The 21987-nt window shown below is 36.6% G+C and overlaps 4 annotated features.

Annotated features, from left to right (window-relative positions):
* Positions 10834-12033: an enhancer, noted in NCBI's record as "BRD4-independent group 4 enhancer chr4:75579177-75580376 (GRCh37/hg19 assembly coordinates)". NCBI's record gives its function as "activates an origin of replication core promoter dependent on BRD2, P300/CBP, MED14 and CDK7 cofactors, and independent of BRD4, by STARR-seq in HCT116 cells {active_cell/tissue: HCT116}" and the evidence as "EXISTENCE:reporter gene assay evidence [ECO:0000049][PMID:35650434]".
* Positions 15026-15320: a silencer, noted in NCBI's record as "tiled region #10751; HepG2 Repressive DNase matched - State 7:EnhWF, and K562 Repressive non-DNase unmatched - State 23:Low". NCBI's record gives its function as "represses a minimal TATA promoter and a strong SV40 promoter by Sharpr-MPRA in HepG2 and K562 cells {active_cell/tissue: HepG2 | K562}" and the evidence as "EXISTENCE:reporter gene assay evidence [ECO:0000049][PMID:27701403]".
* Positions 16229-17430: an enhancer, noted in NCBI's record as "P300/CBP strongly-dependent group 1 enhancer chr4:75584575-75585774 (GRCh37/hg19 assembly coordinates)". NCBI's record gives its function as "activates an origin of replication core promoter dependent on BRD2, BRD4, P300/CBP, MED14 and CDK7 cofactors, with strong dependence on P300/CBP, by STARR-seq in HCT116 cells {active_cell/tissue: HCT116}" and the evidence as "EXISTENCE:reporter gene assay evidence [ECO:0000049][PMID:35650434]".
* Positions 16313-16812: an enhancer, noted in NCBI's record as "H3K27ac hESC enhancer chr4:75584659-75585158 (GRCh37/hg19 assembly coordinates)". NCBI's record gives its function as "activates a minimal SCP1, AML or CMV promoter by ChIP-STARR-seq in naive H9 embryonic stem cells {active_cell/tissue: H9 hESC(naive)}" and the evidence as "EXISTENCE:reporter gene assay evidence [ECO:0000049][PMID:30033119]".

The raw sequence follows: 21987 nt of genomic DNA on the forward strand, positions 1-21987 counted from the left end.
AATAGTTTAAAACCAAATTCAGCAATGCATAAAAAAAAAGTACACCATCAAAAAGTTTAGCTTATCCTTGGAAAGCAATAATAGTTTAACATAAGAAAATAAATAAATGCAAATTATCACATTAATAGATTTAAACAGATGATGTATATAATCCTATCAATACATGCAAAAAAAATGTTTTTGTTATTTGTTTTATTTTATTTTTTATTTTATTTATTTTTTTAAGACAGATTCTCGCTCTATCGCCAAGCTGGAGTGCAGTGGCGTGATCTCAGCTTACTGCAGCCTCCCCGTCCTGGATTCAAGCAATTCTCCTGCCTCAGCCTCCCCAGTAGCTGGGACTACAGGTGCCGGCCACCACGCCTGGCTAATTTTTGTATTTTTGGTAGAGACGGGGTTTCACCATGTTGGCCAGGAAAGTCTCGATCTCTTGACCTCGGGATCCACCTGCTTTGGCTACAAATACATATTCATGGTAAAATATTTTTAAAAATATTTCTACCAAAATAAATACAGAAAGAAACTTCTGGCTAAGGTTAGAATATTTGTGTCCTGTCCCCAGCCTCTCAAAATTCATATGTTGAAATCTAATCTCTAAAGTGATGGTATCGGGAAGTGGGATATTGGGAAGTCACTAGATCATGGGATTAGTGTCCTTATAAAAGAGAGACCGGCCGGGTGCGGGGACTGACGTCTGTAATCCCAGCACTTTGGGAGGCCACAGTGGGTGGATCACCTGAGGTCGAGACCAGCCTGACTAACATGGTAAAACCCCGTCTCTACTAAAAATATAAAAATTACCTGGGTGTAGTGGCAGGCGCCTGTAGTACCAGCTACTCAGGAGGCTGAGGCAGGAGAATCACTTGAACCCGGGAGGCAGATATTGCAACGAGTCAAAATCACCGAGATTGAGCCATTGCACTCCAGCCTGGGCAACAGAGCAAGACGCCATCTCAAAAAATAATAATAATAAAAATTTAAAAAAAAAAAATTTTTTTTAAAAAGAGAGACCAGAGGGAGATAGCTAGCCTCTTCCACCATGTGAAGACACAGACAGAGGTGCCATATATAAACCAAGAAATGGTCCTCAGTAGACACTGAATCCACTGGCACTTTGATTTTGGACTCCCCAGCCTTCAGAACTATGGGAAATAAATTTCTGTTTTTCATAAGCCACACAGTCTATGGCATGTCATAATAGCATCTCAAATGGACTAAGACATTTCCTTAACCTGTTAAAGGATATCTACCAAAACCTCCCAACAAACATCATTGTTAATGGTACAATGTAAGAAAAGCCCCATTAAAATTCTTATTAATACACAGGTGTTCACTGACACCACTTCTATTTGGCATTGTAATGGAGGTCCTAGTTAATGGAGTAAGTCAAAAGGAAACTTACAGACTTTGGAAAAAATATCAAAAGTACAATTATTTACAGATAATATGATTATTTACATGGAAATCTAAAATAATTTATGAAAACTTTAAAAATTATTTAAAGTTTACAAGGATACTGGAAATAATATCAACATATAAACATTAGAATAATTCCTATGCAGTAGTGATTATTGGAAACATTTAATTTAAAAATCTCATTAAAAAAAGCAAGGAAAACATAAGATGCATAGTAATTTATTTAATAGTAGTCACATAAAAATAAAATATTAAAAATATTATTGAAGAACATAAAAGAAAACATAAAAATAGATGTGTTTTTGAATACAACACATCAATGTGGTAAAGATGAGATTTATCCTTTATTTAACCTACAAATTAAATGAATTTGAATCAAAATACCAATAAGATTATTTGTAGAATTCAATAAGCTCATCTTAACATTTATGTAAAGGAAATACATAAAGCCAAGGACAGCTAACAAATTCAAAAAAAATCAACAATTTGAAAGAACTTGCTCTATTAGAAATAATAAATTTTATAGAGCAATGGTAATTAAGACAGTATAGTGGCTCAGAGACAAACAAGTTAAGCAATGGAGGGAAACAGAGAAACCAGAAGCAACCCCACCCATAGATATGGAAATGTCGTATATGACAAAGGTAACATTTCAGATCACTGGGAGAAGTGAGAGACTATTCTGCAGTGAAAACTGTGACAATTCCATTTTTTCACAGAGATAGAAAAAAGCTATGCTAAAATTCATATGGAACCAAAAAAGAGCCCAAATAGCCAAAGCAATTCCAAGCAAAAAGAACAAAGCCAGAGGCATCATATTACCTGATTTCAAACTATACTACAAGGCTATAGTAATCAAAACAGCATGGTACTAATACAAAAACAGACACGTAGACCAACGAAACATAATAGAGAACCCAGAAATACAACCAGATACCTACAGATCTCTGATCTTTGACAAAGTTGACAAAAATAATCATGGTAAAGAACTCCCTATTCAATAAATGGTGCTAGGCTAGCTGGCTAGCTATATGCAGAAGAATGAAACTGGACCCCTATTGTTCATTATATATAAAAATTAACACAAAATGGATTAAAGATCTAAATGTAAGATCTCAAACTATAAGAATCCTGGAAAAAAAACCTCTGGACATTGGCATTGGGAGAGAATATATGACTAAGTCCTAAAAACCAATTGCAACAAAAATAAAAATTCATATTGGGACCTAATTAAACTAAAGAGCTTCTGCACAGCAAAATAAACTATCAACAGCATAAACAGATAACCTATAGAATGAGAGAAAATATTTACAATCAATGAATCCAACACAGGTCTAATATATAGAATCTATAAGGAACTTAAATAAATAAGCAAAAAGCAATTAAAAATGAGCAAAAGACATAAAAAGGCAATTCTCAAAAGAAGACATAAAGCAGCCAATAAACATGAAATAATGTTCCACATCACTCATGATCAGAGAAATGCAAATCAAAACCACAATGAGACTCTGTATTACTTCGTTCTCACACTGCTATAAAGAAATACCTGAGACTAGATAATTTATAAAAAAAAAAGAGGCTTAATTGGCTCATTGTTCCATAAGCTGTACAAGAAGCATGATGGCTTCTGGGGAGCCTCAGGAAACTTTCAATCATGGCAGAAGGTGAAAGGGAAGCAGGCATGTCTTACATGGCCAGAGCAGGAGGAAGAAAGAGAAGAGGTATGTGCTACATACTTTTAACAATCAGATCTTCTGAAAACTCACTTACTATATCGTACCAAGGGGTGATGGTACTAAACCATTCATAAGAACTCCACCCCCATGATCCAATCACCTCCCATCAGGCCCCACCTCCAACACTGGGGATTACAATTCAATATGAGATTTTGGGTAGAGACACAGTTCCAAACCATATCAGATACCTTGTCACACCAATCACAGTGGCAATTATTAAAAAGTCAAAAAACAGCAGATGCTGGTGAAGCTGCAGAGAAAAGGGAACACTACTTATACACTGTTGGTGGAAATGTAAATTAGTTCAGCCACTGTGGAAAGCAATCTGGAGATTTCTCAAAAAACTTAAAACAGAGCTACCATTTGATCCAGCAATCCCACCAATGGGTATATACCCAAAAGAAAATAAATTGTTCTACCAAAAAGATATATGTACTCATACGTTCATCACAACACTATTCACAACAGCAAAAAGATGGAATCATCCCAGATGCCCATCAACAGTGGATTGGATAAAGAAAATGTGGTACATATATACTGTGGAATACTATGCAGCCAAAAAAGAATGAAATCTTGTCCTCTGAAATAACATGGATGCAGCTGGAGGCCATTATCCTAAACTAATTAATGCAGGAACAGAAAACAAAATATCACATTTTCACATATAAGTGGAGCTAAGCATTGGTACTCATGGACCTGAAGATGGGAACAATAGACTGGGGACTACAAGAGAGGAGAGAAAGGGGAGCAAGGGTTGAGAAACTATTGGGTACTATGCTCACCACCTGAGTGACAGGATCAATCATACCCCAAATCTTAGTATTACACAATATACTCAGGTAACATTATCTACACATGCACCCCTTGAATCTAAAATATAAGTTGAAATTAAATATATATATATATATATATATATATATTCATATACAAAATAGCAATAAAAGAAACTGGGAGAATTCTTTATCCATATGAAGGAAAATAATATTGAATTCCTACTTATATTAATCTCAAAAGTTAGTTTCAGAGGAATTAAAGACACGTGAAAGGCAAAATTTTAGATGTTTTATTACCTCAGACTGAGAAAACATTTCTTATACAAAGAAATATTAAAGATAACACTGATGATGTAACTATATGAAAATATCTGAAAAGCTGTTTATTAAAGACATCATTAGGAAAGTGAAAAGACAAGTAGTTATGGTAGAAAATTACTTTTGCACAAATTGTTAGAAAATATTCCCTATATATATAAAAAATGAGCTAGAATAGACTTTTCTTAAAGAAAGACTAAAAATGAAAGAATAAACATTGATCAGTAAAATGAGCAAGAAACAATTAACATACATTTAGAGAAGAGGAAAAGCAACTGGTCAAGCTTTTGGAAGCACATGGAAATATATTCAAACTCAAATGATCTTATTTTGAATTTTCCTTTTCATAAGTTTCCAAAGATATGAAGTATGATATTACCAAGTGTTAATTAAAATATGAAGCTACAAGAATGTTTACAAATCACTAGTGGGTATGTAACCCTCTGAAAATTAATTTGACATTATAAGTTACATTTTAATGTAATGCCTGCTTTATTACCCAGAAGCCATCTTGAAATCTTCAAAAAAATCAGCAAAAATGAAGTTAATTATTAAGAATCTGACTCAGAAGACTTATAACGTAAGTGTCTTTAATGGGGAATTCTATTACTTGTGTCTAATGTCATCCTAATAGGTATAGTGTGTCATTTAAATACAAAAGAAAAGGTGGGAGTTTTCACCATTGTGGCTACTATTTTATTAAATAGTTTTTCAAAGCCATATTTGGCTTTGAAAATTTTGTCAAAATAAGATTCTAAATGACATGTTATAAACACTGGAAGGGGAAAGAATGTTATTATTTTCAGGAATGATCATCTACAGAGAAAGTTTTTAAAAATAAAATCAGTACGTGACAGTTTTCTAAACAAACATAGAAAAAGAGATAGCTTTTCTATAGATCTTTAATAACTAGCAAGACAATCCAGTGAAATTTAGGAGTAAATGGAAGAATAAAAATTCCTCGAAAATGTGTAAACTATAGGAATGTAAAACAAGAACTGGATAGATGCACATGCCACGTTTTTGAGTGGAAAGAAGTTGTACTGCAGAGATGCCATCTTTTCCCAAACGCAAGGCAATTCAAATCAGAATCTCAGTATCTTAACCCAGTAAGCTTACTTTAAATTTCTTCTGGAAATTTAAAACAATGAATGATAATCACCAATAATTTTTTGAAAAATATAGTTACATTATATACAATAAGGGAAAAGCATGCCCTTTCATACTATGAAATATATGGTAAATCCACTGAATAATAACTATCTGGAATTGGCACAGTAATCCATCAACAGAACAGAAATAAAAGATCCAGAAACAAAACTTGTTTTCAATGGGAGCCATTTTCCCTGAGTCCTTAGATTTTCTAGACTGTAAGTGCGGGAATTGAGATTTAAACTAAGGTCATCAGAATCTATTGCTTAGCCTGAGTAATCAACTACCACACAACACAGGCCCCCATCTTAAAAAGTATGAGACTAGCTAGACATATTTTAGAAAAGAATATTGGTCTATCAGATATTAAAATACACTACATAGCTACAGTAAGTAAAATAATGTGATTCATGTGTCAGAACACTTGGAATAGAACCTGACACATTTTAAGAACTTAATAAATATTTGTTCAATGAACAAATCTACCAGACTCCCCATGCAGAATCCATTTCACCCCAAGGGACTACATAGTTTTTGTTAAACATTTTAGTGTGATCAGAATTCCACTGGGGTGCCTGTTAAAAATTCAGATCTCTTCCCCTCCCCATTGGGTCCCTAGAATACCCATTCTGATCCACTAAGAAATTTTAATTTTCAACAAGCCCCAGGTAATTTTTAATACAGGTATCAGAAGAAAGACTCCTAAAAAACATCACTCTAAAGGAAGAGAATGGTCTATCTAGAGAATGCAAATATCTGGCTGGCTGAGGAATTTCATTTCCTATTGTAAATACATATGTCGGCATTCTGGTTACAGAACAATCTTTTATGTGTTTGGTTAGTGTCAGTATCCTCAAGCAATGGATCAACTTTGGGAGTTCAACAAAATCAAATTTGCAGATCTAGAGCTAGATCTTGAGACTCTTTTGTGAGTAGCCAGCTTGACTTATTCAGATGACATCCTACCTTACTACATATGTTTCCAATCTTCAGTAGCAAGAAGGTGCTCTGTCAGGATTAGCTTCCTTTCCCCTTTTCACTTACAGGCTTAGTAACAAAATTCATTAAGCATGTTCTTCCATTGTCTAATTGGTTTAAATTTAATGTTATATTTATTCCTCTACCAGCAGCTTCTTTTCATCTGTAAATATCTAGTTTCAGAGAAACCAATAAACCATCTTTTTTCTACACTCTTTACTCTTTGAACTTTCCTCTTCTAGATTAAAAATGGTAAAGGTTGAGAAATGACTACATCATTCTTCTAACTGATTTACTTGCCAAAGATCCATGACTCTCACCCTGCAGGAAAAATAAAATAAAATTTAAAAACAAACAAAAAAACCCACCATGGTTATCTGAAAAACCTGATGTAACTCTTATTCAATATCATTTATGCTAACTAATTCTTCTCATCTTCCTTCTTCTCAAATGAAAAATTTACTTCACTGTATTCACAACTCTGGATTTTGGCCATCAAGGATTATGAAACTAACTTAGTAAATCTCAACCAACACTTTTTTTTTTCAAATGAAAGAACTAGATTAGGATAAAAATATATTGCATTACAAATAGATGGGGTAAATTTTTGTTTCAATTATATATGTGTAAAGGCATACTATGATAGGATAGGAAATGTATTTCTTATCGTGAGTTTCTGTTAGAAAATGTATGGAAATTTCTGATTTGGTAAAGTGAGATGAATTTTATTTCCCTTTAACTGAATTCCTATTACATTACAAGGCTTATCTCTACAGGTGGCTGACAACTTTATCTTAATGGTAACCTGATCATCTCTGTTTAAAATTCATGTCTCCTTTAAGTAGCACCCCAGTCAAATTCTAGGACCTCTTATTTCCCTGTAAGTTTCCCTTCCTTTCTCTTTTCTGAGGTGAGCTAATCTTAGGGGGCCTTGCATATGGTCCTGGCATTCTGAGAAGAATGCCTGTTAGGCCTGATTTTCTCTATCCTTTTTGGCAACTTCTGAGGGTTCATTCATCTTGACTAGTCCCTGTCTTGGTGGTCTGACACCTTCTCCTGAAATTTCTGACACCATCATGACCCATTTTCATTGTCTATATACTCTCCTACCCAGGATGATGGTAAACACACTGCTCACGCTTAAATACTTTAATACCCTCTTTCGAGGCGTGGGGGAATACTCTTTCTCATCTAACGAAGTGCAACTTTTGCAGATCAAAGGCATTCAGACTCTGTTTGTGCTACGTGCTTATAAAATTTATTTAGAAATGTATTCTAGGCTGAGTGCAGTGGCTCATGCCTATAATTCTAAAACTTTGGGAGGCTGAGGCAGGAGGATTGCTTGAGGCCAGAAGTTTGAGACCAGCCTAGCCAACACAGAGATAAAACCTTATCTCTACAAAAAAAAAAAATTAAAATTAGCCAGGTGTGATGGCCCGTGCCTGTAGTCCCAGCTTCTCAGGAGGCTGAGGGAGGATGGCTTGAGCCCAGGAGTTTGAGGCTGCAGTGAGCCATGATCATACCACTGCACTCCAGCCTGGGTGACAGAGTGAGACCCTGTCAAAAAAAAAAAAAAAAAAAAAAAAGGAAGGGAAGGGAAGGAAAAGGAAGGGAAGGGAAGGGAAGGGAAGGCATGGGAGGGAAAGGAAGGGAAGGGATGGGAGGGGAGGGAAGGGGAGGGGAGAGGAGGGGAGAGGAGAGGAGAGGAGGGGAGGGGAGAGGATGGAATGGGAGGGAGAGGGGGAGGGCCAGGGATGGGAGGGAGGAGGGGGAGGGAGGAGGGGGAGGGAGGAGGGGGAGGGAGGAGGGGGAGGGGAGGGGGAAGGGAAGAAGAAATGTATTCTAGGCCAGCACTGTCTAGTTTCTGTGACAATGAAAATGTGCTATGTATAACTGTATTGCCCTGTACAGTAGCCTCTGGTTACCTGTGGCTATTTAGCTCTTGATAGGTGGTATCAAGAGCTCTTCTAATGTGACTAAGAAACTGAATTTTAAATTTCATTTAACTTTAATTAATTGAAATTCAAATAGGCACATGTGGCTAGCAGTTACTACATTGGACAGCACAGTTCTGAGTTGCATCTGTGTCCTCCCTCTTGGCAGTGTATAAAAAAGCAAATGCTGCACCAAAATCATGGTTAAGTGCAATAGCACAAGAAAAGGCAAAGAGAAGCAACTTTAAAAACATCTCTTCATATAATCTTGCCACAGTAACATAGATTTTTTGAGGTACGATTTACATATAATAAAAATATACCCATTTTAAGGGTACAGTACAATAAATTTTGACAAACGCATTCAGTCATATAACCACCACCACTATTAAGGCACAAATGAATTCACTGTCTCCATATTATCTCCTCCTTACTCCTAGCCCTTGATAAACACTGATCTGGTTTCTGTAACTACTGTTTTGCCTTTTACAGAATTTCATACAAATACAATCACACATATGCCATCTTTTGCACTTGTGTTATTTCAACTAGCATAATGATTTGAGATTTGTTCATCTTGGTACATATGTGGGAGTTCGTTCCCTTTTATTATAAGATACATTTCATTGAATGGGTATAATACACATTTTTTTTCCTTTTTTTTATTATTATTATACTTTAAGTTTTAGGGTACATGTGCACAATGTGCAGGTTAGTTACATATGTATACATGTGCCATGCTGGTGTGCTGCACCCATTAACTCGTCATTTAGCATTAGGTATATCTCCTAATGCTATCCCTCCCCCTCCCCCCACCCCACAACAGTCCCCAGGGTGTGATGTTCCCCTTCCTGTGTCCATGTGTTCTCATTGTTCAATTCCCATCTATGAGTGAGAACATGCGGTGTTTGGTTTTTTGGCCTTGTGATAGTTTACTGAGAATGATGATTTCCAATTTCACCCATGTCCCTGCAAAGGACATGAACTCATCATTTTTTTATGGCTGCATAGCATTCCATGGTGTATACGTGCCACATTTTCTTAATCCAGTCTATCATTTTTGGACATTTGGGTTGGTTTCAAGTCTTTGTTATTGTGAATAGTGCCGCAATAAACATATGTGTGCATGTGTCTTTATAGCAGCATGATTTATAGTCCTTTGGGTATATACCCAGTAATGGGATGGCTGGGTCAAATGGTATTTCTAGTTTTAGATCCCTGAGGAATCGCCACACTGACTTCCACAATAATACACATTTTTTATTCATTCACAAGTTGATTTAGGTTGGATCTGGTTTAGGGCTATTATTTTTAAAAGCTACTATATGAATAGAGTACCCATTCTTTTCTGGACATATGCTTTTATTTCACTTTGGAAAATACTTAGGATTGGGAATGCTGTTATGGTAAATATATAATTATATAATAAACTGTCAAACTGTTTCTTAAAAGATTATATCATTTTGCATCCCCACACCAATACATGAGAGTTATAATTGCTCTACATCTTTACCATATCTCAGCATTGTAGATCTTTTGATTTTTATCCATTCTAGTGGGTTTGTAGTAGTACTCCATCACAGTATGAATTTACATGTCCCTGATGACTGTGATATTGGGGATCCTTCTATGGACTTCATGCATTTCTTATATCTTCTTTTGTAAAGCATGGGTTCAAATCATTTTAAAATCAGGTTATCCTCTTCTTACTCAATTGTGTTATTTATCAGACATAATTTTATAATATTGTCTCCTAATCTGTGATTTACCTTTTAGTTTCTTAACATTTTTCAATGCTGGGTGCATTTTTCCTTGTTATTGTTTCTTTGTTTTTGCTCTAAGAAATCTTTGCCTCCTCAAGACTACAGAGATTTTTTTATTATAATTTCTCTAGTTTTGTAGTTCAAGTGCTTAGCTTAATGTTCAATTTAGAGTTAATAAAAAGGCCTTTTAAAAAAAAATAAATAAAGCTATCCAAACCTCAGACCAATGTAGAATCTGTCTCACAGAGTCGTTGTAATGCTAGTAAGTCATAACTGTTAAATAATTATTAGCCATAGATATCGATGCTTATCTCTAGAACAAATCCTCTCAGAGCACGGAAGGAAATTCTGAGTTAGAAAGGCAATCTTAGCAGAAAACGTTTTAAACATTACCGAAAAAATGTAAACTTACATAGGAACTACAAATAAAGCCCATTCACCAATAGGACACATCTGAAAATTCTGAATGAAACCAGGCATTCTTAACTTCTTAAACGTCATTCCACAAATCTTCTTTCTAATCTTCCTCAAATCTAAACTGATTTGTTTTATCTTAGGACTGAATATTCATGACAGACCAAAGATGCTTTGTTTGATACCGTTTGATTTCTATAATTATATTCTGTAAATATGTCTAGAAATTGGCACAAAACTGAGAAGGAAATCACAGAAAAAGATCAGAATATTTTTTCCTACTGCTTTTCCTTAGAGAAGAATCTATATAATCTCTTACATCTTTAGACATCAGTAGGTTTCAGGTATGAAGAAGGTTAGCTACTTCTTAATAACTCAGGAGCAGAGTACAGCATAGAGTCCAGACAAACATCCACAAAGATAATTGTAGTACTTTTCCTAGGATTACCTGGTGGCTTATCAATTTGTGCACAAACCTAGAGCTACAAATGGAAGAGGGGCTAATTCCCATAGAAAATTAATGTTAACTGTTTATGTATTTTTTTTTCTTCTGACCTTTCCAGGTGAGAGTTGGGTTTTCCAGAGCCCAGTCACAAGAAATTTACCTATTGATCCTCTGACGAAACGCAATGGTAAGCTGTGCTAAGTAAACTGACCCAGCTCACCCTAACTTGTAACTGCACTGCAATGCTTGAAACGCAGCGAAAATCCTACAGCATGTTCCCTTGTTCTCTGAACTCACCTGCCCATTGCGTGCAAGAAAAAGCTGGATTCCTTCTCGGTCTAGTAAATGATTTTCTTGAATGATGCAACCGACTTATCTAGTGGGTTATCTCTGGACCTGTTCACAAGCTGACAAGTATTTGCAGGGATGTACAGTCATGCTTTCTGTTCCTCAAACTGTAATGTGTTTGTAAGTGAAAAATGATGAGTATGATGTGGATCCGAGCTGGTAAATCACCCCATTATGATGTGGTCTCCTCTTTTGATCTGACCTGAGGCCTGAAGCAGGAGAATTTATTTATCAGGGGCAAATGAATTCTGACTCAGATAAGTGTGACAGAATGTAAGGTCTTCATCGATGCATTGATTCAATTTTTCAATAAATATCCATTGATCTTTTACTAGGTACTTTTCTAGCCCCACCAGAGAAAAAGACAAAATCCCTTTCCCCATTGGGTGGGTTTCTGACAATTCGTATATACTAAGGATGACAATGAACTTTTAGTGCTTTTCTTCATGCTATGAGACATAACATGCAGGTCGATGACTTTATCTTAATTCCTTTCCACAAACTATACTTCCTTACCCTCTAGTCCTTGGCAAATAGGGTAAAATCTTAAACCAAGAGAGATTCTAGCACATAGCCCCTCAGTCCATGCATTCTCTTTGTGCAGGGGAATTTAGGAAGGAATTGGTCTTGACATGAGTAAAAAGACCAGATCCTGAGGCAGACTCCCCTCCAAAAGAGATTGAATTTACTGGATTGTGCTTATTGCTTTCAACTCAAGAAGCAATACTTCCCTTAAGTAGTCCTCTAAGTTTAAAGTGGAACTCAGCATATCTCCTTTTGGCTCAGATGTATCAACTTTTCTTCACCACTTTCACTCTGGCACTCACATCTGGCAGTATTCAAGCTGGTGGCTAATAGAATCAAAATGATAACGTAAAAATGGACCGTCGGTACACCTCACTTCGTGTTTGGCACTGTTTGTTCATCTGTGGAACCACTTCATATTAACAAAGATGAAACTTTAAGCTAAGTCTAGAAATTCAGTATAAACCTCAGAGATCCTTGAGTCATAGTCTAGATAAATCTGTGTGCCTGAATTACAGGTGCATGAAATAAAGCATGAGAGACCAGGATTTATCAAATGCTCACAATGAAAAAGCAATTCCTGTGGAAAAGCAATTCATATATACACACACATGTACACACACACATAAATTAGGCAGATCTAGATGAAGAAAAGAAAATAACTGCTCCCTTCCAGGACCATGCCCTAAACCTGAGGCTACCATGAACTCACCCATGTGCAGCTCCAGCTCTTGGAGGAGGCCTCACCTTCCTCATCACATTGCTGGATATTAAACAAATACTTTGGGATGAAGGAGACAAACAAGAGTATCAACACTACTACTTAATGGTCCATATGTATCTAGAAGACCTGGTTGGAAGGAAGATGGTGAAAGAGGGAAAAGCACAAACATACTTGTGCCATAGTGATGCACACTTTGCCTGCCTCCCTTCAGGACACCAAGATGCACATCAAACAAAATCTTCAAAACTGAAATTCAATCTCAAATAATATTCAATCTTGTATCAGAGTTACCCCTGAAATACTCAACCTTTCTAAGTTGATCCATTGGGATAAAGCAGGGAGTAGAAAGTCGAATCATAGCCCCAAAGATAAAATTCCCCTAAAAGCCAGTCATAAGAGGCAGTTCAAATGTAAGATATGAGACTAGATTATCCATACTGGTTCATTATCCCCAAACAATGACACACCTGGTTTTTGAAATCTGCATAGTACCTTTGTTTTTACAGACAATGTTTGAGATCTAGACTAATGTCTGTGGGTCTGTTCCCATGCCAATCTTTTCAACACAAATCATTTTGGAAAAACAAGTAATGTTGAATGAAAACTGCTTTTGACCCATGGGAATACTTACGAGCTACTGAAATATTTTAGCCGGTGAAATCTCATGAAGTTTTCTGAAACTATAGTGATTGTTCTCAAGTTTGTGAAGGTATATTTTGGTTAACAATGCTCATTTCTCTGTGTTAGCTGGCAACAAGCTTGTTAGGAAATGCATCCTCACTTTCATCTATGTCCAAAACTGACATTATGCTTTGGCGTGGCCTCTGAACTAATTGCTGTATACACAGGGTGATTTTTATGCTCAGCAGTAGTGTGATGAGGGGAACTATTCACTCATTGACCAAACACTTGTTGAGCTCCTAACAAATGCATGACTGGGATACACAGTAGCAAGGAAGATGGACAGGCCCACTGGTTTCATTGAGTTTTCAGACCACCAACAGGAGAAATAAAATAAACAATAAATAAACAACAAACACAAATGTCTGATTGCAGTAAGTGCTGTGCAGAGAATAGAACAACTGGATGACTAAGTCACCGGGTGACTACTTTTGACTAGGTGGTCAGGAAAGGCCTTTCTGAGGAAATGACATTTGAGCAAATACTTGAATGACAAGAAGCACTCAGACATGCAAAGACTCCAGGTAAAGTGAGCAACAATTATGCTTTAAGTGGAAAGAGTTTTGTGTAATCAATTTTTTAAAAAATCAATAAAATGACCATCAACAATAAAAAGTTATGGCTGCTCCTGGAGCAGAGTATTCATGGAGATATGAGAGATCAGAGTAGGCAAGGGCCCCATGTGGAGGCCTGCTAGGCCTTCTGCCCATCACAGGAGTTTGGATTGTAGTCTAAGTGCAGTGTGAAGCCGTTGGAGCAATTTAAATAAGCAAGTGATATGCTGGGATTTACTATATAACACATATAGAAAACATACAATTTGGAAAAAAGAGGAACAACTCCTGCCACCAAATCCAAACTCCCCATAATAAAACAAACTAGTCTTTCTATTAATTAACATTTTCTTTAAATTATCTCCAGCATAAAGCATCCTCCCAGTATACATATATGCACAACCTAAACACATGATGTGTCCACAAATGGCCATTCATTACATTCACCAAAGGGCAAATGCAAATGCAGGATGATTCTTCCCAAATCCTGGCATTTGCTTCCCATGAAGGGAGTTCAAACTGCATACTCATGAATCTCTCTTAATATCTTTACTCATTTCATATTTAGAGAGATGACTGACTTATCCAGTAAATTTGGAAAAATTACTGGGTATGCCTGGCTCAGCTCCCAGGTATTCCTGATGAGAGTGAATCTAGCCATGGAGAGTAGAAATTCTGCTTTGTGCCTCCTTGGGAAAAGCATTCCCTAGACAGTCCCATCCTGTGGCCCACCTTGCTGTGACTGGAGTGGTTCTTCCTAAATCTGAGTTCAACATTAGCAAGTCCACTTGGGTTAACAAATCTAAAGCCCAGTACTCTAACCTAATCTCTCTTAGGAAGACAATGATAATTTAGCCTTCATGTCTATTACTTTTCAACTTATTCAGAAACAAGATGGGAAATATGAAGTATCACTTTCACTGAGGATTGGGACCTACTGAGAACACAGCACCTCTTAGGTTCTATCAAAGATATGAAGGAAGAAGTAAATACACTGTCTTTACTGAGAAAATTCACAATGTTTTCTAATAAAATATTAAGGCTTGCTGACAAGAAAGCAGATTCTCAGACAGAATAGAAAACAAAAAAGCAAAGAAACATTAAAACAAAAAAGCAGAGAAACAAACTGACCAGTTTGGAGTCTCCCAAGACTCTACCACATGCTCTATAAAGAACTGGACAATCACACAAGGTAGAAACAGAGGAAAGGACCAATGGAAAGAATGCCCACTTTTGCACTCTATATAGACTGAAAGACAACATTCTTCTTTTCTGGTCATTGACTCTCATTGTCTTCCAAATATTGATCTGTAAGCTTTGACTCTGAACATTGTTTCCATCTCAGTTATTCTCAATTCTGTGTTTACCAGACTCCTTCTGCCACACCAAACAATGGGAGTGTGCTGCTACTCTTGGTTCCTTTTCTCAAACTTTCGCAATGCCCATTGAATGTAATACATTGCTGAAGCTCTGTTGCATGACATTTGAAAGATGGCCATGTAGCATTCAAAGCCTGTTTCCATTCTCAACCCAAAGAATAGAATCCCTCCTTTGTAACTTCCTACCTAACTCTCATGTGGAAAAGGTGAGAGATACACAGATGAATTTAAATTCATGTCTAAAAAACGAAACTTAGACATAATGGAGACATATATGGTAGAGAGAGATGATTTTGTCAGCCTTACAATGAAATGGAACACAGATCTCTTCATCTTCACTATGGGAAATAAAGTCCAGAGTCACTCGCTGGTATGATATCTGAATGAGTTAAAGAGCAACGTACGCTTGATTTGCCCCCATATATTTCGAACATTTGTTACTTTTTTCAAGTGAAATTTAAAAACACCTTATCAAATTTTAGACTCAATTTTAGGTCAAATATAAGACAAATAGGTGCAATAATGTATTATTTAGGAGCTCTTTGTAACAGTTTTTATTTTTTTTTTTGTTTTTGTTTTTTACTTCTTGGGTATTTCAAGTTTCACAATGGAGTGCTTCTCAGCCCAAATGTGTAAGGCAATTATAACATCTAATAGTACATACCTGGTTGTACTTGATCCTCATTTTGTGAGACTTCTATAGAACCCTCACCCAAGGAATTTGGCTACCCTATTGGACCCATTTCAAGAAAAATGAAATAGCAGTGATCCTAAGTTGCTGACAATATTTTTTCCTACTCTAAAACTTATAAAGAAAGTCTTAGAAAGGATTGTCTGGCCAGGCATGGTGGCTCACACCTGTAATCCCAGCACTTTGGGATGCTGAGGTGGGCAGATCACCGAGGTGGGGAGTTCAAGACCAGCCTGACCAACATGGAGAAACCCCGTCTCTACTAAAAATACAAAAAAAAATTAGCCTGGCTTGGTGGCACATGCCTGTAATCCCAGCTACTTGGGAGGCTGAGGCAGGAGAATCACTTGAACCTGGGAGGTGGAGGTTGTGGTGAGCCAAGACTGCCACTGCACTCCAGCCTGGGAGACAGAGTGAGATTCCATCTCAAAAAGAAAGAAAGAAAGGATTGTAGGCCGGGTGTGGTGGTTTACGCCTGTAATCCCAGCGCTTTGGGAGGCCAAGGTGGGCTGATCACTTGAGGTCAGGATTCAAGACCAGCCTGGCCAACATGGAGAAACCCCATCTCTACTAAAAGTACAAAAAATTAGCCGGGCATGGTAGCCTGTGCCTGTAATCCCAGCTACTGGGGAGGCTGAGGCAGGAGAATCACTTGAAATGGGAGGCAGAGGTTGTAGTGAGTCGAGATCATGCCACTGCACTCCAACCTGAGCAACAGAGTGAGACTCTGTCTCAGAAAAAAATTACAAAGAAAGGATGTTTTTCCTGATAGTACCCATACCCAACAGGTTAAGACAAGAGTAGTGTAGGTGTTTGAATTAAAAAATTGAGGTGAATTTCCTGCATGTCACAGGTTGTAAGTGAGCTTGCACAAACCACTGTATAAACCATTACCCCCACAACTGAAGTTAATTCCCTAATTGTCTCCTCCTCCAAGTTCTGGGGAGTGAATCAGCCATTTGGCATTCTTCCCTACTTCTGACTGACTCAGAAGTACTTCCGTCACAACTGCCACACATTTTTGAAAAAGAAGGAGTGGAGTTGTTATATGAGTCATAAGAGAATGAGAAACAGGAGTGAGGTGAAAGGTGAGGTCAATATCCCAAATGCATTTCAAAAGAGGTAGTCAAAGGATAAAAAAGATGTTTTACACTAGAAACTTTTGAAGATATTAGTAACTAAACAGACTTTTGATGACTACTCTTTACTTTTGAAAGGTCATCTTTCTTAACCTTCAAAAAACACACAGATACCCACATACAAAGAGAGACAGAAAAATAAAGAGAGAGAGATCTGATTCTCTTCTCAAACACCTTATTGAAAATACACTTTTCCTATGATTTTCTTCATCCTTATTCTATCATATGGCTAAATTTAACGTTCCAAATCATTGGTTATAGATAAACTAAATGAAATCAGGCTTTTCAACTCCATGGTTGGCCATTGAACAATGTATGGTCTTAGAATAATTAAACTCCAAGAGCACAGTTTGGTTATTGATAAGAAAAAGATTTTTTTTTTTAAAGTTTAACCGGAACCTAATTTTCAGCAGAGCACAGGCAAATTGATTTCTTTTTTATTTACAGGTAATTTAGGATTTTCAAAATAATGTGATAAAAGATGGGCCCCAGGGTAAAACCCAGTAGATCGGATAACAGTATAAAAATCACTGACCATACTCAGCAAAAAACATTAGTTCAGCACTGGCCAAAGCCACAGGTGAGAGATTTAGCCAGTAAGTCTCCACAATATTTTGGAAGATATTTATGAGCCTCTTGGGACCCATGTCAAATAAAACCTTGTTTACAAATCTGTAATAATGTTAGTTAACTTTTTAACTCCCAAGAAAAGTTTCAAAAAGTGCTGCCTTACCTTTATTATATTTGAAGTAGATATATCCAATTTTCTACGATTCAAGGCCTGATTGGATACTAAATTTATGGAGGAATAGACAGACTATTCCCAGGGGATTTTTTTCTCTACTGTTTGTAGCATGGGATCTTATGAAGAGCAATTGAGCACTGTGGTCAGTAGCACCAGCTCTTATAGCAGCTTGCTTGGAATGGAATCCTACTTGGAATGGAATCCTACTTTGCCTTCTCCTTACTCCATTCCATTAGACGGTTTTCCACTTCTCTGTGCCTTACTTTCCCTATCCTTAAAATAAAGATAGAGACAATACTTATTTGATAGTGTTGTTATGGAGATTAAATATAAAGTACTCAGAACAGTGTCAGACATATTAAAAACTCTTTGAAAATGTACACTACAAAAACCATGGGTTTTTGACCTTTTCCAGGTTATGCAGATGCAGAGCTGAGACTTGAACCCACACCTCTGAAACCCCTGACCTACAGGCTCAGACGTGCTCACTACCATTACCCCAGAGCTAGGTGCTGTGTGAATAATTGTCATGCTGAGTAATTAATGAAAATTAATTTAGTACCTCTGCCAAATTGGAAAGTTTTACTTGAAACTTGAAATGAGCTTTCTCTTTACTTTTTTTTTTTTTTAATATAAGGGTTTATGGAGTAAGTGAAATCTTATGAGATACTTAAACTTGTAAAATAGAAAAAGCTGCAAATGAGTAAATGCCTGGAGTACTGACTTTAATACCATGACTAATAGATGATTGTTCTTTCAGGACCCATTTTGCCTACAGGCTTCTAAGCCTTTAAAGGGCTGCTCTGGAGGCCATGGTTCTACTGGTAACATAATCATATTTTCTGTCTCAGTAAATTGACAGAGCTACAAAGCAACAGAACAATGTCATTAACTACTGTTACAGCCTCTGGGTCTCAGCAAATATTTGCTGACTTGTGACAATTGGAGACCTCATTCATTTACTCAGAGTCATCACCATCTTTTCAGGTTGCCACAGTCTCTTTCCTCAAAGTCATCTTTGACCCAAAAAGTGGAAGTTGGCTATGACACAAATTGCTAGCAAAACAAGATGGAATTTTCAACTGTTACAGGATAAGACAAGTAAGAGATAGATGTGATGAAATGCAAGTCCTGGAAGCGAAGGAATGGTGTAAAATGTCACTTACTGCAAGATTCCTTCTTTGTTTGACTCACTCAGTTGAAATGGAGGCCATTACATTTCACATTCTGGTGGCCTAGGGGCACAGCCCATCATGAAATCTTGCAGGAAACTCTCTGTTCAAGTGACCCGTGAGTGCCACTTTGGGGTCTAGAATGTGACTCATTCTTCCATACATAGTTTTTGTGTAAAGAAAATAAATTAATATATAACAAACATGTTTAATTTCCACTGACCCCACCCTATCCTAACTTCCCAGAAATTTTAGCCTAACCTTGAGTTCTCATATGAATTGACTCTCCAGGTGCAATGACTATTATGACAAAATCTGAGTAAGAGTTTGTACCACTGTCCCTCCACCCTAAAGGGATTTACTTACATAGAAAGTCTAAAAACTGATTACTCCATTTGTTCCAGGAGACAACCTCCCACTAGACAAATGATGACTTGATTTGAAAAGCACTTTTAAAAAGAAGTCTGCCCTTCAGTGAAGGCAACCCAACTTAATAGTAATTATCCTTATCAGGGACCCAGTGACCAGATTCTACATATTTACCAGGTCTCTCAAGATACCTGCATAACTATTTACTAAAGGTTCTGCCTGGAACAATCACAGGGTATAAAGTTCATAATTGTTGCTGTGTATAGAATCCAAATAAAAAGAAACAAACCTATCTCCTTGGAAATATAAGTAGTGATGGAAATATAAGTAGTCTTAAAATACTGTCAAGAATGGGCACTTAAGTGATTTAAGAATGAACCAAAGATTTTATGTTGAGTGTATTAATATAAAGTCATATGTGCCTAAAATAAATTAAAGAGCACAAAATAGTATTGCCACAATGATGCAGAGTGCACGAACAGTGACAAAGGTTCCAATGAACTGACAGTTATAGGGAGAAATAATTAATTTCCACACTTTATGAAGTTTTTTCTATAATGTACATGATTTACAAATTAATATATAATTGGAAAATCAATATATTGTAGGAGAGTTCCATAAAGTGTGGAATTTTATTATGAAAAACTGGTGAATGTGATTGTTTAACCAGTCACTTCTCTTACGTTGCAAAGATCCACTGTTACATAGCTCATATTCATTCCATATGGGCTTAACCTTGCTCTCCTTGATTTACAGTCTAGTGAGGATTTAGTCAAGTTAACAGGCAATACCTTGTAAGTGCTACGATGTGGGGCGTGCACAGAGGACTGAGGGAACACATAAGATTCACATGTCATAGGTTCCAGGTAGCTCACTAGAGAAGGGAACTCTTAATGATGATGTAGAAGTTAATTGGCAAAAAGACAGAAGTTAATAAAAGGGAAGGAGATATTCCTAGAAGATGGAAAGGGAAATACCTGGAATGAGGAAAACATAGCTTTGGATATGCTCAAGGATGCCTATTTTAAAATGTCTAAGCTCAAGTTGTAGAGTATTCTGCCATGACCTACAAGATCACAATCGCAGGAGAAGCAGTTGGCAGCTATCTTTATCTGAAGGAGGTATGCTTGATTTAAAGATTATCAACTGACACATCAAGAATACAATTAAAATATCTATAATAATACCAAATAATTATAAAGATATAAAGTTAAAAGTTAAACATCTCATTCAAATACTATTAAATGTAGCATACAAAAATAGTCCAATCATCCTAATGTGTTAACATCTCTAGATCAGATGTTACCTACAAAGGAAACAACAAAGTTCCTCTGAAGAGTGTTTTGTGAATTCTCTTTGTCAAGTTAAATCTTTCCTTATTCAGAATCACTCAAGCAGTAGGTATTATTATGCACATATGCTAGATAATAGGGAATTGAATAGCACTGTTTTTTGGTGGAAAAGGAGATTACATTTTTCTTGGGTAAGGAGGTCAATTTACATAAAGAGTGAATAGTTAATAAAAGAGCAATTAATACAGTTAGAAACTGCAATATTTGCTCTATAGATTATCAGTGCTAGAATACTGATGACTTAGTAAGCTATGTTTTCCTTGAAAAAGAAGATTTTATAGAATGAGTGGAATTTGAATTGGAGAGAGAAACTGGGGAGTAGATTCTAGACAAAGAAAAAGGTCAGAGGAAAGCTTCAGAGGCAGGTGCTGTCATGGTATATACCTGTGTCTGGGGGCCTGTCTAAAGCCAAGGAGACATTTGAGAAGTAGAATCTAATTGCTATGAATTGGTATGCTGCGATGAGATAATAGAGAAATTTGAAAAATAGAAGCCATCATTTAGTTGGATACTTTAAGGACAAAATTCTTAGAATGGATACGGGTTTCTTTTTGGGACGATAAAAAAGCCATAACATTAAATAGTGGTGATAGTTATATTGAGGAGTATTGAATTGGAGAACAACATTCATAGTTACATTGAGGAGTACTGAATTGGAGAACAACATTCAATGGTTAGTCTAGTAATCTTATGAAAGAAAAACAGAGAATGAAAAAAATCCACAGCCACTGGGGTCAATAGAGACACATTTCTATTTAGATATGGATGAGTGGCAGGATCTTACATGCAAAATAAAAATCAAGAACTGATACCAAAGGCATTTCAAAAGAAAAAAATGAAAAAAAAAAATCCCTTGAGCATACTAATTGGATAAAGGTAAGAACATAGAAGGCAAGGGTGAGTTGGAAATGCCTGAGTAGCTATGTAAATAGTGGCTTCAATTGGTGGAGGCGGAAAGAAAAATGGAGTGAGAAGAGTGATGACTTTGTTTTTGTTGCTGTTGAGCTTAGGATAATGAGGTATTTAAGTAGAAATGTTTATTTAGATGGTAAAATAAAAGCCTATAGATCAAGCGAGAGCACAGGTATGGAGTTACAGGTGACATTGTTACATGAGTATTTCTAAGGAAAAAGAACAGTGATTATTTTAACCTTTTCTTTCCAACAGAATTTTTACTTCAAACAAACCTAAACCAGGCTGGGCGCGGTGGCTCACGCCTGTAATCCCAGCACTTTGGGAGGCCGAGGCCGGCGGATCACAAGGTCAGGAGATCAAGACCATCCTGGCTAACAAGGTGAAACCCCGTCTCTACTAAAAATACAAAAAATTAGCTGGGCGTGGCAGCATGCGCCTATAGTCCCAGCTACTCGGGAGGCTGA

This window comes from Homo sapiens, chromosome 4 (assembly GCF_000001405.40).
Source record: "Homo sapiens chromosome 4, GRCh38.p14 Primary Assembly".
Taxonomy (NCBI): Eukaryota; Metazoa; Chordata; class Mammalia; order Primates; family Hominidae; genus Homo; species Homo sapiens.